The sequence below is a fragment of the Homo sapiens genome, chromosome 13 (genome assembly GCF_000001405.40).
Source record: "Homo sapiens chromosome 13, GRCh38.p14 Primary Assembly".
In the NCBI taxonomy this organism is placed as follows: domain Eukaryota; kingdom Metazoa; phylum Chordata; class Mammalia; order Primates; family Hominidae; genus Homo; species Homo sapiens.
Window position 1 is genome coordinate 65,566,636 of NC_000013.11, and position 16,126 is coordinate 65,582,761.

The window sequence follows — 16,126 nt, forward strand, 5'->3', positions numbered from 1 at the left end:
GGTGAAGGTTGTAGTGAGCCAAGATCATGCCACTGCACTCCAGCCTGGGCCATAAGAGTGAAACTCTGTCTCAAAAAAAAAAATATATATATACAGTTGTTCCTCAGTAACCATGGAGGTTTCATTCCACCATCTCCCCCAGGGGTAACAACATCTGCATATTCTGAAGTTCTTAATATAAAATGGTATAGTATTTGCCTATAACCTATGTATATCGTCCTATAAACTTTAAATCATTTCTAGACTAGTTATACTGCATAACACAATGTAAATGTGATTTAAGTAGTATTATGCTGTATTGTTTAGGGAATAATGACAAGAAGAAAAAAAACCTGTACATGTTCAGTCAAACACAATTAAAAAAAATATCTTGCAACTGCAGTTGGTTGAATTCATGGATATGGAATCCATGGAGGTAACAGATTTGCTGTTGTATCACTAGTGGGCTCATTCTACTTTTCTCTATGCTAATACATAAAGAATCACGTCTTCTTAATAACACAGAATGTTTAAATTTGGGGGAAAGTAAAACCCTTGAATTAAATCTGTTGTATGTTAGCTTTATCTTATATTTTTACACTGGATGACACCTTGAATATAAATTTAACCCGTATTTTCTTGTTGACAGGGATACAATACCCATGTGGCATAAGCTTTGGGGAAGTAAACAAACTGTCAGTATCTCAATGTTCTCATATAATTATCTACATCATATCATCGTTGTGAGAATTAACCTTGGTTTATTACTGGCAGATTTTTTAAAATTTCTGTCATTATACTTATCTTTAACAGTGTATGTTGCAAAGTGCTGAACTTAGGGTCAATAAAAGTAAAAACCTTTCTCAAAACAATATTTAAATTAAATTAAGTTAAATATTTTAAATATTTATTATTTTAATCTCCTTTGAAGAAGGCAAAATTATTGATACTGAAATTCATGAAATAAGATATTTAGTTAACTTCACATTACTGGTGAAACTGAGGTTTTCTGACGTATGTGGGAGATTTAATTTTGCAAAAATAAAAGAAAATAATGCTATATTTAAAGAACTTTCTCTGGTTAGAGAGATTGTGCTACTCTAGACTTTTTACCATAGCTTCTTACATATGAAACTTTACCATCTACAAATTTACAGAGTACTTTTTCTGAGATCCTGTCTTGCATTTTTCTTTGTACATTCCTGTTTCAGGAGATCTGTTTGTCTGGTTTCCTACTAGAACGCAGAACTCTTAATTATGCTGCTCCTTTGTCTCTTCTTCTCAACAGTGCCCATGTCATGGGAGAGCCATGGGAAGAAAGAGATACAGGGAAAAAAGCAATAGGTGTATGCTTCATCCTTCTGGGATCACATCTTCTTTGAAAGTAGGAAGAGATGTCCCTTCCTTAGAGTTTTTAGGGCCCTGAAGACCACATGATTGCTTGGGAGCTGAGGTTAATGAAATGGGAGCTTTTTGTTTAAATAAAGAAAAATATGGCTGATTTCTATACCCTCTCTGTGACCTCTTTGTCCCTTCTTAAAGCAGAACCATTGGGCTTCTCCTGGCGCCATTTCTGTTTATGATAATCTCACTTTTGAATTTTATAGATCCAATCAATTCAGCTCGGGGATTGCTAGAGGGGGAGAAATGATAAACTCAACAATTTTTCATTGTTACTTTGAATGATGGTCATTTTTTCTATAATTTGTCATCACTTTTTTTTTTTTTTACTTTTAAGAGGCTTCAAATAGCCATTCTATTTATTCTGTTCAGGTTTTATAGCTGCACTTAGTTAGAGGCAGTGTACTGTGTAATAAGTCCATCTTATCTGGAACGGAACTTCACTGTAACAATTTTGAAAGTAAAAAATAATATTTATTAAAAATTAATCGGCCGGGCGCGGTGGCTCACGCCTGTAATCCCAGCACTTTGGGAGGCCGAGGCGGGCGGATCACGAGGTCAGGAGATCGAGACCATCCTGGCTAACACGGTGAAACCCCGTCTCTACTAAAAATACAAAAAATTGGCCGGGCGTGGTAGCGGGCGCCTGTAGTCCCAGCTACTCGGGAGGCTGAGGCAGGAGAATGGCGTGAACCCGGGAGGCGGAGCTTGCAGTGAGCCGAGATCGCGCCACTGCACTCCAGCCTGGGCCACAGAGCGAGACTCCGTCTCAAAAAAAAAAAAAAAAAAAAAAATAATTAATCCAGGCAACAGGTGCAACCTAGAAATAGCTCAGATAAAAATGGATATATAAACACTCTACCTGAACAACATTTCTTTAAACAATTTTCTATATTCTTTGTCTCTCTCCTTTGGCTTCTATTTATATATCAGCTTCTTAAATCTCATTTTTAATCCATAAAATTCCACTGAGGCATTCATGAAAAATCTTATTTAACTTCTGGACAAAATTTTACATGACTATTTATTCTTTGACCCGGTATGTTTTTTTGACTTCAGGGTGTGAGACACAGACAGTTTTCCACCTAATTCTCTGGCACATCTTCTCAGGTATTTTGAGAATCTTCTTCTCTTCCTTCCTTCAGTATGACTCATATTACATTTCTCACTCTGCCTAACATTCCTACATGATTTTATTTGCTCCCATAGTTTTAATTACTAGTTGGCTCTTAATGACTCCAAAATCAACATCATCCACCATCAGTAGTTCCCGTTTTAATTCATTACAATATATTGAATTATGAATAGATATTTTGATTAAAATTCAACAATGAAAAATTTGAAATATTCCGACCTAGATTTATAATCATTGTTCCCAAACGTTTTCTTTCTCTGTCTTTCCTGACTTAATAAAAAGTATTACTACCAGCAACTAGATGTCCAAGTCAGAAACCTAATTGTCATTTTGAGTTTCATTTTTCTCGACTTTCACTCTACATTCAATAATTAACCTTTAGATTCTAACTCCCAAATATATCTCAATTATTATTTTTTAACTTCTCTAAAAAAATAATAATGCTTCTCTGAGACAAGCCGCCATAATGTCCACCAGGATAATTATAATAATCTAAGTGGCATGTCCAACAGTGGTCTTGATTTTTTCCAATCACTTCTCTCACTGAAGACAGACTAATTTTCTAAGGTGTGAATATGATCACCTGCTTACAATTCTTTATCAGTTATTCATTTTCTTTATAACAAAGTAAAAAATATTTAGCAGAGATTAAATATCTCTTCATTCAATGGCCCCTGCTTATGTATCCAGTCACATCTCTTAATTCTGCCTTTAACCTGAATCTTAACACATTTTTAAACCCTTACCTGTGCTCATAATATTATTCAAGGATATCAACACAAGTTGTTACTTCTGAATCTTTATGTATACATTTTTCTTGGTTCCAGAATAAGGAAATGTTTTTCAGGGTTTAGTTTCAATATCAGTTTTTCCATGAATATTACATTATTCCTGCTAAAGCTATTTTAGAAGTATTGTCTATGTTATATAGTACTATATATTTCTACTACTCTAAATTTCATATATCTTTTTGAAAAAATAGATTATTTATTTCTATTGGGTTATCAAAAAAATCTAAACTCCATCAAAGTCAAGATTCATGCTATATTGTTCACTGTTACTATCTTCATCATCAATTGCAATGCCTGGCAATTATAATTTAAATGGAGAGATTAATAAATTAACACAAAAGGAACTATTCTCAAAACCCCAAAAAAGATGGCAAAAATATGTCCTTTCATCAATAGCAAACTTATGATTTGGCAAACTAAAAAACGAAAAAAAATCATAATTTACACTTGGTTCTTTCCAGAAAGCAATAAAGACTTTACCAGCCTGGAAATATATCATTTCACAGAAGAGTCAAGAATATGCAACTTCTAAATAATGTCAGTCCATGCTAAGAGAAAAAATAGTTTTCCAGATATTAAAACTTGTAACAAAGTTCAAACCACATCAGAATTATTTTTTCTCATTTTCCACACGTGTTTCAGTTGTTGAAAGTACCGAGGGATATAACAAGGGAGACAACAGCTCATTGTTAGTGAGAACTTGCTATATAATGTGTACTTTCATGTAAAATAGATATATAAACTTATAGAGCAACTGTATTTGTTAGATAATGAGGGGCTAAGCGACATGGTGATTCAATGCATAGTTAGAGCCAGACTGCTCTAATTGAATCTAGACTTTGTAATTTAAGAGCTGTATAATCACTCTCTGCCTCAGTTTCCTCATCTATAAAAGGGGCATAACAATATTACCTACCTCCTATGTTTGATTTTTAAGGATTAAGTGAGTTAACATATTCAGAATACTTAGAGCATTGCCTTCTTTAGTAAGTACTATATAGTTAGTAAGTACTATATATTTAGTAAGTAATATTTATATACAATATACAATTATTATTCCTATTTTACATATGAGAAATATAAAATTCAGAGATGTTCAGTAATGTCCCTATTATCACACAACTGGTTAACAGCTGGTAAGTAGAGAAGCCCAGCCATAAATCTTTTTCTTTTTGATTCCAAAGTTCATGATATATCTACATTCCATGAGCAAACCCAGTAGGTATGCCAACATTTATATATTAGAAAATTTTATACTAGGTATATTTAAAATGAAAAGTCTAAGCCGAGCACAATGGCTTGTGCCTGTAATTCCAGCACTTTGGGAGGTTGAGTTGAGAAGATCTTTTAAGCCAATAAGTTTGAGACCATCCTGGGCAATATAGTGAGACTGTTTCTATTTTAAAAAATACAAAAAATTACCCAGGTGTGGTGGCTCACACTTGTAGTCCTAGGTACTCAGGTGACTTAGGTGGGAGGATTGCTTGAGGTCAGGAGTTTGAGGCTGCAGTGAGCCATGATTGTACCACTGGACTCCAGCCTGGGTGACAAAGCAAGACCTGTCTCTAAAATAAAGAAAAGAAAAACCTACATTAGTATAATAAACTTTTATTTAACCATCATTACTTTAAACTATGGTCAACATAGTATCAGTCTTATGTAATTTACAATCTTACTCAATCCTAAGACTTAGATTATTTTAAAGAAAATCCAAAATGTCATATTCTTTCTACACAATTTTCATTTTTAAGTATTCTTGAAAGGACTAATTTTTAACATGACCATGATAATATTATAAAACATAAAAGTTATTAATAGTAATCCTTGAATACATATCCAGTGTTCAAATATTCTTGATTACTATATTGCCACTTATTTGCATGCTATTTGTCAATAATTACTTTGTAAATTAAATTTTGAATGTCACAGTTCCTCTAAATTCTGCTCTATCATCTCCTTTTGAGGTTTCATTCACTTCTGTGACTTCAATGGCCACATAAATTAGATTTATTAATAAATACATAAAGATGATACAAATAATCATTTATTTTATTTTTATTTTACCCAGCATTCTATTTCATAATGATACTTTATTCTTAAAATATTATTTTCAATGTATTATAGATAAAAATACATCTTTATGAAGCCAGTGATTTCTAATCTGCTCTTATGAGTATGTCCAGTTTTACACTGAATTGTAGAAATAGTATTAAAATGAGAGATTCAGCATCTTACTGATTTAAATATAACAATAACAAACAAGAGTCATTGAAAGGATAGTCTGAGAGACTTTTTACCTTGGTACTACTTAGTGTTGCAATGAAAATGTCAATAGATACTTACAGTCACATTTGAAATTGTCCTACTAGTGTATGGAAAAAATAAATTACATGGTAATAGAGTTGCTAGAAACGTTAGAGTAAGAAAACATTAGTCAGCTTTCATGTGATATTTTAGGAGTAAGAAAGAATGAAATAAAATAGAAATATGGATTAAAATCACAAGTGTTAAAGATAACTGAATTTGTCTCTGTGCCTAGATGAAAATACCAGCCTGAGACAGAGAACTAGATATGAAAGATGAAAAAAAAATCCCAGCTGCACTGTAACCATCAAAATTGAGCAGTATTCTACCTTATAATTGAGTCTCGGTGGCACAATTCTTACATCATTCACTATGACTGTTCCAATAAGCCCCTGTTAAAGTTAACAGACTTGAACTCCACTGAAAATTCATCATCTAAACGTAAGCATTGGCTTATTAGAATGGAACAGACGGATTTTTATGTGGGAAAGGGACAGTCAATTCTACAAATTTTAATTAATCAGAAAGTTTTATGTCAGCACATTGTCTAGGATGTGTTCTAAAGAAAATTAGTGTGACAATATACATATATGAAAAAATGTAAAAAGAGAAATAACCCAACTATTCAGAAATTCTTTTGTAGTATTTATTCATAATACATAATTCACAAAACATAAGCAAATATGAAGGAGTATTTGAAACTAATGAAATTTCAGCATTTTTTTATGGTCAGTAGAATTCAGTGGTTATTGCTAAACGTTTTTTTTGAGACAGTCTCCCTCTTTCGCCCAGGCTGGAGTGCAGTGGTGCGATCTAGGCTCACTGCAAGCTCCGCCTCCTGGGTTCACACCGTTCTCCTGCCTCAGCCTCCAGAGTAGCTGGGACTACAGGCACCTGCCACCACGCCTGGCTAATGTTTTGTATTTTTAGTAGAGACGGGGTTTCACCGTGTTAGCCAGGATGGTCTCGATCTCCTGACCTCGTGATCCACCCTCCTTAGTCTCCCGAAGTGCTGGGATTACAGGCGTGAGCCACCGCGCCCGGCCATCGCTAAACTTTTTATATCTTTGATTAGAATACTTTTCAGGAAAAATTGAGAATAAAAGTTTAAATTAAATTGAGAATAAAAGATGTAAATTTGATACAAGTTTTTAAATTATAAAATATTCATATGGGTTTTATTAATTGAAATTACAATATATATTCATACAATATAGAAATAGCAAAAAATGCAAATAAGCACTTTCATATCTGGTGAATATAGATTAAAATTTCCAGTTAACCTAGTAGTTACTTATTTTGCTCTATCTTATATGATTTTCCTGCTGAAAATAACATTGAAAATAATGGCTATTGATTTGCTCTCAAATTCTAAATTCTGCTGCTCGAATTAATATTTCATATGTGTAAGTGTACATTCATATATGCACGCATTTACATATCTTATATGTAATTAATCTTATAATTTATATTGAGACTTTTTAATAATAATAACTTTGTATTGCTATGATCATAGTCTTTGACATAATGTTTTCTCAGACAAACACAATAATTAACTTAGAGAAAACTAAACATTAGAATAAAATCTTCCGGATACTGGAAGTTTTAATCATACCGAGAACATTGCAAAAGCCCCTCTTTCTTTATTGACCACATTTGATATAAAGATAAGGAGATTATGAAAAAGGTTACCAGAAAAAAAAAACTTTAAGGGAGGACAACCTAAGAAACTGAAAGAAGAAAAACAAATGAGAGGAAAATATGAAAGGAAAAAGAGTATATGGAAGGTGATAAGGTGTTTGTTTCTCCTTGGGAAAGATGGAAATAATTTTTAAATTCTTGAGTAAAACTAAATAAATGCCTTCTCTTACTAATCTATAGCAGTATCGATGTCATGCATGTGATAATAGCTGCACAGTCATGGAATGCAGCAGGGAGTTATGGAACTAGGAGAAGGTAACATTAAGGTGGAGCAATCTTAGACCCTGGGGAAAGTTAGTGACACAAACTAGAAAATGCATATGGCAGGTGAATGCCCCTCATGCTCATTGCTGTGATTCAAAGTGGGATTATCAGATTTGTGGGCCAAAATATCAGTTTAAATAGTCTATCCAGAAACATCCAGTCTCTAAGAGGTTAAATAAACCAAGGAGTAATAATGTAGATGAAAGAAAACCAACATACTGATATGCATAACATGATGATAAAAAATGATCCATAAAAAGTCTTCAACACCTCAGACAATGTTTACAACATGCAATCAATCTTTTATTGGTGAATTAAAATAAACCACAATTACCAAGTATACCACTTTCTGATCATTGCCTTCTGTTCTATAAATGCTCTCTGTACTGTAATATTTAAATAGGGATAAAAATATCATTACAATTTTCATTGGTGAGAATGAACTCACAGCCTGGAGAATCAAAAGAAGATCAAAATAATTGGTATAGTAAGGCTAAAAAAAAAAGAATCAAATACATATGTAGAGAAACACGGCCTTGTGTTTTTACTTTTTGAATCCTGAACTACTAGATGACATGTAAAACCCATATATTCATGCAATTAAATATTAAAAGCATATTATATTTTTTGACCAGCATCTCCCTTAAACAGCATTTCTCCAGTTATTGTAGTTGCTGTTTTTTAAGATCTATGAGCTGAGCCCCAATAAGAGAAACAGTTAAAGAGAGTGAAGGAGACTAAAAGAGTAACATCCGTACTCGGATGGAAGAGTCTATGGATAAATTAGGAAGCTCCCCTTTGAGGGCTACTTATTTCACCAAAAACAAACCCATGCTTGCTTAATTTTCTGTAGATAATTTTGAGAGAAAGACAAGAGGGAAAAATCTAACTCATAAAAATAGATGTAGTCATAGGGCAAGAACAATTCTGAAAGGTTAAACTTTACTTACAAATCTTTAGTATTTAGCCCTCCAGTAAAAACCTAAAGTTATAGTTAAAATGTTCAAATAAATTTATTGGAGACTCAAGGAGGACTACCTATATCATTTTGGGGAGAAACTTCCCTTATTCAAATGGAGATTTAAATAAAAATATTTTGATTAATAAGCAGAAAATAAACAAAAACCAGGTGAATAATACATTTTGGAAGGAGAATATTCCAGGAAACAACAATAAAAAAATTCAATATCCCTAAAAAATTAAAATGGCAAGTATAAACTGAAATAAAGGACCATAAAAGTAATTAATAAAACAGCACAAATTAACAAGATTATTCTCTTCCATTTCCAGAGAAAGATTACAAGGGAAAATATGAAAATTAAAAATATATAAAATATTAGATTTTAAAAATGTAATAAATAGACATCAAACATACTACATCAAAGAAAAAATTAAATTATAAATAAACTTAAGTCATAAAATAAATTTTATATTTGAATATATTTACTTATTTCACCTTTCACTACCACTAACTTTTCTTTCTTAGGAGATAAATCCAAAGATTTACTAATAAAGTTTACTAGCATTTTACAATTTCGTTATTGATAATATTCATATATTTTCATATATAAAACTTGAAGTATATAAATGAGGTGTGTATTCAACTCAATAAGCTGAAAAGAAACAGAATGTGTGACTTATTTGGACTAAACTCTGTGTTTAATTAATGAATATAGAAAGGAAGCTCAACCTCACAGTGGCTCAGGGTTATGATTTCCGTACCTCAACAAATTATGGTTTAATAACTAGTCCAGATGTTTGATACTCTATGACTGTAATCTCCATGATGGCAGTTTAAAGTTTTTTTATAATTGTATATTTTTCACTTGGCATCAGGTTGTTATTTTCTATGTTTATTTCTTTATTTTTCAAAATTTTAGCTACAGCTAAAATAACAGCTTTAAAAATTGCTTATCCAACATTACATCACCCATCATCTTATCACTGATTCATTGACTGTTTTATAATATTGTTAGGAATATGTTTTCATATATTTAGTGGCTTCACACATGGTTTGTATTTAAAGGTATTTTGGATTGTGTAAGTAGTAAGCTGTTCTTTTCTGATTATTTGACAGTGATTTCCCTCTTTGTCTAAATCCTTTTGTCCTCGATGACTTGGCATGCTCTTTATTTATGCCTGTTACCCCAGATGTATAAAACATACACATTACTTACATAAGAAACAAAATAGCCATGCATATATCATCACTCCCAGAATTCTTATATCATTTGAAATAAATTCATCCAGCTGTAACTTTTATAAAACACATAGCCTTTTTACACTGTATATTTTCTCTTGTAGTAGTGATGGTTGTGATAGTGGTTTAACTTTTAATTTTTCACCTTGCCTCTTCAAACAAACTCTAACAACCTCAAAAGCATTCAGCATTTCTAAATACATCTGGATTTTTTTCTTCCTCTGAGACGTGGAAATAGCTATTCTCTAATAGGTGTCAAAAATGCTGCTGGTTTGGGGTCATTCATTATTTTGGATATCTATCTATCTATTAATCTGTCTATCTAGTAGTCATATATTCTTTTAAAGAAAAAAATTACTTGGTGACACTTGTTAAGCCACTTTAAGAAATACTTCATTCAGTACCATTGTGTTAGATATAGGGACCAAGGCAATGGTATTTTTTACAGTGGAGCAGAGTTTGGGCTCTACTTGAATACAACAAGAGCTAGTGGCAATCTATAGCCAAGGACCAGGGTGATCAGTGGATTTCCAAAGAGGAAACATTAGGGTTGAGGGAATTCTAGTTACTCTGAACTAACCAGATTCTTACTGAAGACAGGCCAGGGTGATCAGAGAGCGGAGGCCTGGAGGATGGCGTAGGATGAGGAACTTGATCAGATATTGACACTGATCAGGAAATGAGGCTGGGAGTGCTTGCCATAGTGACTTAACCGGGTTATTTGCTAAGACTGGATTATACATGGAAGTATTCACATGGTTCTTGAAGAAGTTTCAGAAGCCTGACTAAAGTTTCTCCAAGCACAAAATCTTTGTCAGTTCATACTGATTTTTCAAAAATAAAACCTTATATTGCTGCATCATATTTTTATCTCAGAATATTGTTTAATACATCTCTAAGAAATTTTATTATATTTGCTATACTTTTCTATAAAGAAAATACAGTTTTCTTGCATTTTCTATACTTGCCTGTAGAAAAAGTGGTAGACTTGAATTGATGAGAAAACTAGGGAAAATATAATGTAAATTAATTTGAGGAGGATATAGCCACGGAAAACCTTAACATACTATTATCAAGTAAAACAGGAAGGAGTGAGTAAATAAATAATGGTTTACGAAAAAAATGAGGCAATAGGCCACTTAAATTCTCTGTGTATGAGTGGCTAGGAGTGAAAATGTTGAATTTCTGTTCATCTATTTCCTTGAGATGCTATGTTAGGTTGTTAATGTGTGATCTTTATATTTTTTTTATGTAGGCATTTAATGCCATAAAATTCCCTCTTAGCACTGCTTTTGCTGTATCCCACAGGTTTCAGTATGTTGTGTGTCTATTTGTTTCAAAACATTTTTAAATTCTCTTTTTAATTGCTTCATTGACCCAGTTCAGGAACTTTTTGGTCAGTTTCCATGTATTTGTATAGTTTCCAAATTTCTTCTTGGTATTGATTTCTAGTTTTATTCTGCTATGATCTGAGAAGATATTTGATATGAGTTTGATTTTTAAAAATTTGTTGAGACTTGTTTTGTGGCCCATAATATAGTCTAATATATATTCTATCAATGGTGAAATAATAATACATAGATATCAATACTAAACAATGTCCATATCCATTGTTAATGGAAAGGCAAAAAACAAATCAGTTTTAAAACATTAGAAATGGTTTCTATAAAATAATCATCATCATCATGTTAAAAACAGAATCTTGATAGAAAATAGTAAATATGTGCAAATATAAATCAAATTGTTTTTCTCTGATAAGAGCCTCTTAGACTTGAATGGAATTTTTACTTTCTATCTATGATAGTTCTATTTGCTTTTTAAAAAATTGTGTATCTTATTCTATAATTAAGCATTTGATCTAATATAATTTTCAAAAATATTATAAAACAAGTTATGAAACGAGCTAGATTATAAAAGGAAATGAAAATGTTTTACATAAAACCTTTAATAGATCATAGTGGGAGATTATGAAGATGTGAGAAGGAGTAAAATAACTTTGTCAGATTTCAAAGTAATTTTTTGAGATGTCTCATCCTCTTGCTGCCCTTTTCCTACTTTCCAGCATCTTTATAATACAGGCTACATATTTTACTCCAACTATGGACAGCCTATGTTCTGGTTGTAGTCACAACATTTATGCTTCATATCTGAAAGCAGTGAAGTGAATCTAAGAGAAGCAAGAAGAAGCTAAAGAGCAAGCTTCTCAAAATGTGTCTGCAGCCTTTGGGAAGTTGACATGAAGAAAGGTACATGAAGTAGAGGGATACATGACTTTTTTTCAGTAAATGAAAAGGTTATAGTCCTTGAATCAGAGCATATGATTTGACAGCAGCTGTTATAATTTTAATTTTTTTGAGACATGATCGCTTTGGGTAAAAACTAATTATGTTTAAGAAACTTAATTATAAGTTTCTAATTTATTTTCCAGTTTTTCTGGAATAAAAGACTCCTTACAATCAGTCTATTAAACACTTTTAGATTCATATTTTGAACAAATTTATATTATATGAAAAAGTAGAATATCACCTGTGTATCCACTGAAGCTTCAGTTTGTTGTGGCCAATGTTCCTATCTTTGATACAGAAATAAAAGTTTACTCTGTCCATCTTAATTTGATTAGTTCTTGCAAAGTTAATCTTATTTCCATCACTCTCAAATTATTGGGAAGTACCCCATTATTTTCCAAATCACAGCCTGTAAATCATGTGACATACATTTATCGGCAAATCAAAAGTACAGAATAGCTTTGGTAATTGTGACATTAATAAACCATTTACTATTAAATAATATGTATATGTTATTATCTTTAAAATAGTCCGGGAGTGAATTTAAAACTACTCTTTTCTTTGCATTTGGTAAATATGCTCTACACAATGTGATTTCTTTTTTGGCCATTGTCTATATATTTTTTTCTCAATTTGAATTATACCCTCTCTTTAGGCTTGAGATACACTTATTTTAGTATTGAGACATACTAATTTTTCAGCTTCAAGCAAGAACCATACTATTTCTCACATTTGTGTAAATTGTTCTTCCATAGCCTTCAGTAGATTTGTTTCCCGTTCCATAACCATGTATAGCACTTTACATGTAATTGAAGCAGTCGTAAGGCTGATTTATTTGTGAATTTTCCGTACTTGTTTTATTTGTGAATTTTCCCTAGTATTTACATGTGATGAGTGTTTGTCCATCACTGTATCCCCAATCAGAAGCTAACATATAGCAGACATAAAAATATATAAAAATAAAATAATATATAGGGTGAAACACTCAAAATTATCAAGAAGGAAAGATAAATATTTTAACATCTATTTTTCTAATGTATTTAATGGCCAATATTTAGTTATTTATATTTTTAAAAGAATATATTGCTTCCAATAAGATAGTGCATCAATAACTAGGATTGATTCTCTTTTTTAAAAAGTGAATACTACTTACAATAGATTTTATAAAATTAGAATCATCAATGATCTTGAAAGAAAGTTAAGAATGATGAAGAGAGGTTTAAGCAAAGGTTTAAATTTGCATATGTAAGAGGAAAATGACATAAAACTTGCACACTGAGAATATTTGCTGAACTCAATGAACTCTAGACTTGAGACCTCATTGAGCATGGGGTAAAAATATAAATTCAAGAGCTCACTGAAAATAGGAAAGCTAATAAGATATTCTCTCCTGTAAAGATATCAGTACAAGGGTACAATGAGAACAGTGATCATCTGCAGGCTATGAGAAAACTTATATATATATATATGTATATTTATATATATAAATATATATAATTTAGCACTGAACATATAGCGAAATTTGCTTAACTATATAATCTGATTTTATACTTTTTGGTGGCTTGGTACCTCTGGTAGAAATTCAGCTTAACATAATCCCAGCATAGTATCTCACCAAAATAAATTAGAAGAAATAAAAACAATCTTTTCTCAGGAAATACTTTTACGTAGTAAAGATTTTAATGAATAAAATTCCCAGAAAAATTAGCGGTGCATGAAAAGAATGCATCTATATATTTCCATATGTATATTTCCATATACGTGGAAATAAGGTACTATGATCTAGAACCAAGATAAACAATAAACAAAGAAAATAGATTTAAATGTATTTTAAGTGATGACATTAGCAGACACAGATTACAAATAAATAAAATATGAATTTTTTTAAAAATAAACATGCTTGACCATATTCACAGGGAAGCAAAAACTGCAAATAATGACAAGCATAATTTGAAAAAACACTGGAGAAACATGCAATAATAAACAAAAAATATATTATTTGATATGAAGAGTCTACAAATTGACCTAATTGATGTATTATGTACAACATCTGGCAAACATACTGAAAACATAATTGGAGGAAAATTACACAGAAGAAATTACACAGAATGAAACCAGAGAGAAAAATAAGAGAAGAAGATATGAATAATTGATTAAGATACATAGAGTATGGAGGGAGAAGACATAACATAAATTTTATCTAGAGTTCCAGAAGGGAAGGAGAGAGAGAAAGAGAAGAGGGAACAAAAAAAATTGAAAACATAATATCAGGAAAATTCATGAAAAAAAAATGAAACCACGGATTCATGAAGCTGAACCAGTTCCAGAAAGAAAAATAGAAAAGGAATATAAATCACACTAAAAATAATTACTGCATCTCTAACAAGGTAGTGCCTATACTGCTGGTCTGGAGATGACACTTTAAGAACCACAAACATAAAGAAGATATAGCATGGAAGAGACAAAGAGAAGATCTAAAATCAGCTTCATGTAGAGGAAAATGGTTTCAGAAAAATAAGATATAAAGTACACTGGAGAAAAAGAACAAAAAGAGTGCTAAATGTATAGGTAAAACTAAATGAACATTGCCTGTATAAATTGCTAATAATCACTTACTGAGGATCTTAAAATTAAACAACCTAACATGAAAACATACAATAAGAGAATATGTTAGAAAACTCATAAATTCAGATATTGTTTTATATTGTTCATAAAGAGGATAATCATTTACATTGTACTCTAATTAGATCAACATACTTGCTGTAATTATTTAGCTATTTACTAAAGAAATTGTCTTAGAGAATGTAACTCAAAAGAGTAGTAGGAATAATTGAATAATTAAATGTATAATTTTTCAAAATGAGTGCAAGAAAGAAAAATATATATGAAACAAGAAGACAGGTATATAAAATATGATGCCAACTAAACAAAATAACGTATTAATAATTATAATTAATTGGATGTACTCAATGCTTCAGTAGAGAACAAATTTAATGAACTACCTTAAAAATTCAACTATTAAAGGCACAAATGAAGCCTAAGTGTAAACAGTTTGAATTCAAAGCATTAGATCAAATTGCACCATTCTAAACCAAATTCTAACCAAAAAAGGACTGGTGGGTTAAGTGTATCCTAAAGTTACCTCCTTACATATTTTAAGCTGAGCCTAAAGGTTTCTTGGTACAAAGTAAGCTGAAACCTGAGTGTGTAAACAGGAGGTAACCTACTCTTATGAGGATCACCAAGTTTTGACCAATCAAAGTGGCCAACTATTTAAACCACGTTCAAATAAGGCAAATACCAAGTGGTAAGCCATCTAGCTGTTTCTGTACCTCAATTGTATTTTCTGTGTGTCACTTTCCTTTTTCTGTCTATAAATCTTCTACCATGTGGCTGTGCTGGAGTTTTTCTGAACCTACTCTTGTAACTGAGTTCCTCCATTTTTCTAAGAGATAGTTTTGTTGTTGTTGTTGTTTTTCTTCTTCTTCTCTTCTTTTCTCCTTTCTCTTTTCTCTCTAATTTCCACTTTGTCCTTTTTGAAATGCAACATAACCTCTCACTTCCCCCTCACCAGACATTCCCTATAGGGCAAGTTCCTCTGTGTGTTTCCAGAGGGATCTCTTCCTCAGAGTTGACAGTGATTTGCAGATCAAAGAATGTCCCCAGGGAACCCCCACCTCCAGAGGGCTGCCCCAGGAGGACCTACTGAAAGCATGCTCACCAGTTCACTTTTACAACTTACTTCTGCCCAGGAAGGCACCAACTCAACTCTCATGTCCAGTAGATAAAGCAGGGGCTAGCAGAGGATCCCTGCCCTTGCTCATTTCCTCCCCTACATTATAAAATGCCTGCTTTTTCTCCAAAGGGGAAGCAGCACATTTAAAGCAAGACCTTCTGTGCCCCTTCTTCAAGCTAGCTTTGGAAATAAATTCACTTTTCTTGTACCAGTCTCCACTGTTTTTAATGGGACTCTACATGTGGCAAGCGACTAACCTGCTTTTCAGTTACACTCTGGCTCTACGCCCACCCAATTCATGAGTTGTTCTTTGCCCAGTTAAACTCTGTT